The sequence below is a fragment of the Homo sapiens genome, chromosome X, assembly GCF_000001405.40.
Source record: "Homo sapiens chromosome X, GRCh38.p14 Primary Assembly".
In the NCBI taxonomy this organism is placed as follows: Eukaryota; Metazoa; Chordata; class Mammalia; order Primates; family Hominidae; genus Homo; species Homo sapiens.
In genome coordinates this window covers 82,726,119-82,728,127 of record NC_000023.11, presented here as the reverse complement: position 1 = coordinate 82,728,127, position 2,009 = coordinate 82,726,119, and the positions used below count along the sequence as shown (strand labels likewise).

At 41.6% G+C, this 2,009-nt stretch overlaps 1 annotated feature.

The window, feature by feature from the left end:
* Positions 427 to 1,626: an enhancer, noted in NCBI's record as "BRD4-independent group 4 enhancer chrX:81981951-81983150 (GRCh37/hg19 assembly coordinates)". NCBI's record gives its function as "activates an origin of replication core promoter dependent on BRD2, P300/CBP, MED14 and CDK7 cofactors, and independent of BRD4, by STARR-seq in HCT116 cells {active_cell/tissue: HCT116}" and the evidence as "EXISTENCE:reporter gene assay evidence [ECO:0000049][PMID:35650434]".

Sequence of the window (2,009 nt, the reverse complement as noted above, 5' to 3'; positions counted from 1 at the left end):
GGGTGGAGACTGAAGGAACAGACAGGAGAAAAAGAAGAAAGATTTGGGACGAGTCACATTGGGAGCAGAGACTAGGGAGGGACCAATGTGTAAAAGAATGCCTGGACATCAGGCACCTCAGACCATTTGCCCATTTTTTGACAAAAATTATCTAGGTCTCGTAGGATGGAAAAATCAAAAGTGCTGTTTTCTGGCCATTTATAACCATTATCGACTTTGTATTGGGGCCAAGCGGAGTTGCAGAAGAAAATAAGATGTTTAGATTTTAGGTCAGGCAAGAGTTGAAGAGGTTTTAAGTTCTTGAGAGCACAGGCTAAGGGAGAAGAAGGAGGAATGGAGGGTGGAAGTTTGCCCATAGTGAAGGAGGCAAGTTTAAAGAGAAGGGTAGAGACACCGAGAAGGGGGTGGGGAGCAGCCCTGGGCTGCAATGTGGGTGAGCAGCCAAAGTAGGCGTCTCTGCAATTGACATGCCACCAAAGGAATGTGGGTGAATGACCAAGGCAGGTGTCCCCGCAGAGATCAAACACCAATGGAATGTGGGTGAATAATCAGGCAGGCATCCCCACAATGATTAAACACCAAGGGAAGGCTGCCTTCTCGAGTCCGTGACCAGCGCTGGAGTTTTGGGTCCATGGATAAAATGTGGCTCCTTTGTCTCTACCAGAAAATGAAAGGAATTGAAATTCAGAGAAGGGAGAGATTGAAGGGTGGCACCAAGATTGAAAGGAGAAAGAAGTTGAGGGATAGTGAGAGAGGTTGGAGAAGAGAGTAAAAAGAGGCCGCTTACCCAATTTAAAATCGATGCAATGTTCCTTGGGCTGGTTGGTCTGAGGACCTGAGGTCATAGGTGGATCTCTTCACGGAGTGAGGGTGAGGACAGGGGACTGGTCTCCCGAAGGAGTCTCGCTGACCCCAGTCTTCAGCACCAAATGTCTCACGCGTCTGTGTGAAGAGACCACCAAACAGGTTTTGTGTGAGCAATAAGGCTGTTTATTTCACCTGGGTGCAGGTGGGCTGAGTCTGAAAAAGGAGTCAGCAAAGGGTGGTGGATTATCATTAGTTCTTATAGGTTTTGGGATAGGTGGTGGAGTTAGGAACAATGTTTTGCAGGCAGGGGGTGGATCTCACAAAGTACATTCTCAAGAGTGGGGAGAATTACAAAGAACCTTCTTAAGGGTGGGGGAGATTACAAAGTACATTGATCAGTTAGGGTAGGGCAGAAACAAATCACAATGGTGGAATGTCATCAGTTAAGGCTATTTTCACTTCTTTTGTGGATCTTCAGTTGTTTCAGGCCATCTGGATGTATACATGCAGGTCACAGGGGATATGATGGCTTAGCTTGGGCTCAGAGGCCTGACAGTGGGCTCTAGAACCAAACTGGCTGTCTCTGTAAGTGACTCAGGGCAAGTTATTTAACTTCTCAGTGTGTTCTCATTTTTCATTTGTTAAATGGGAATATTTATGTAACATGCCTCCTAAGGTTATTTCTATGATTAAATGAGCTAAGACAAGCAAAGTGCTTATAGTAGAGTCCAGTACATAGCAATTGCTCAATAAATTATTGCTATTATTTTTATTAATAATAATAATAAACCACAAAGACTTAAGCCAGTATATAGTGTAGGATCCAATATGTGAATTTGTTAGGATCTGCCATAATTTACATGTTTTATAAGAATGTGGACCTTGGTCACATAGAAGAACTACACATACTTGCATTTCTCATTTCTGAAAATAGGATGCTATATTTTCCTCCTTTTTCTTTCCTTTGTTCATTCTTCCTTCCTTTTTTTTTTAGTTTTCTCTCTTTCTTTCTTAATTTATGTTTTTTTAATTCATTGTATAAAAAAGCACTTATTTTGAGATCACTATGGTACATAATTTATTGACTTGACTGTATCTAGAAATTTAAGTACTACTAACTTTTCCAACTGTATATACACCAGTCATGAACCTAGAAATTCATGCAAATTGGATATCTTTTGTTATATTTTTTTCTTTGCTAC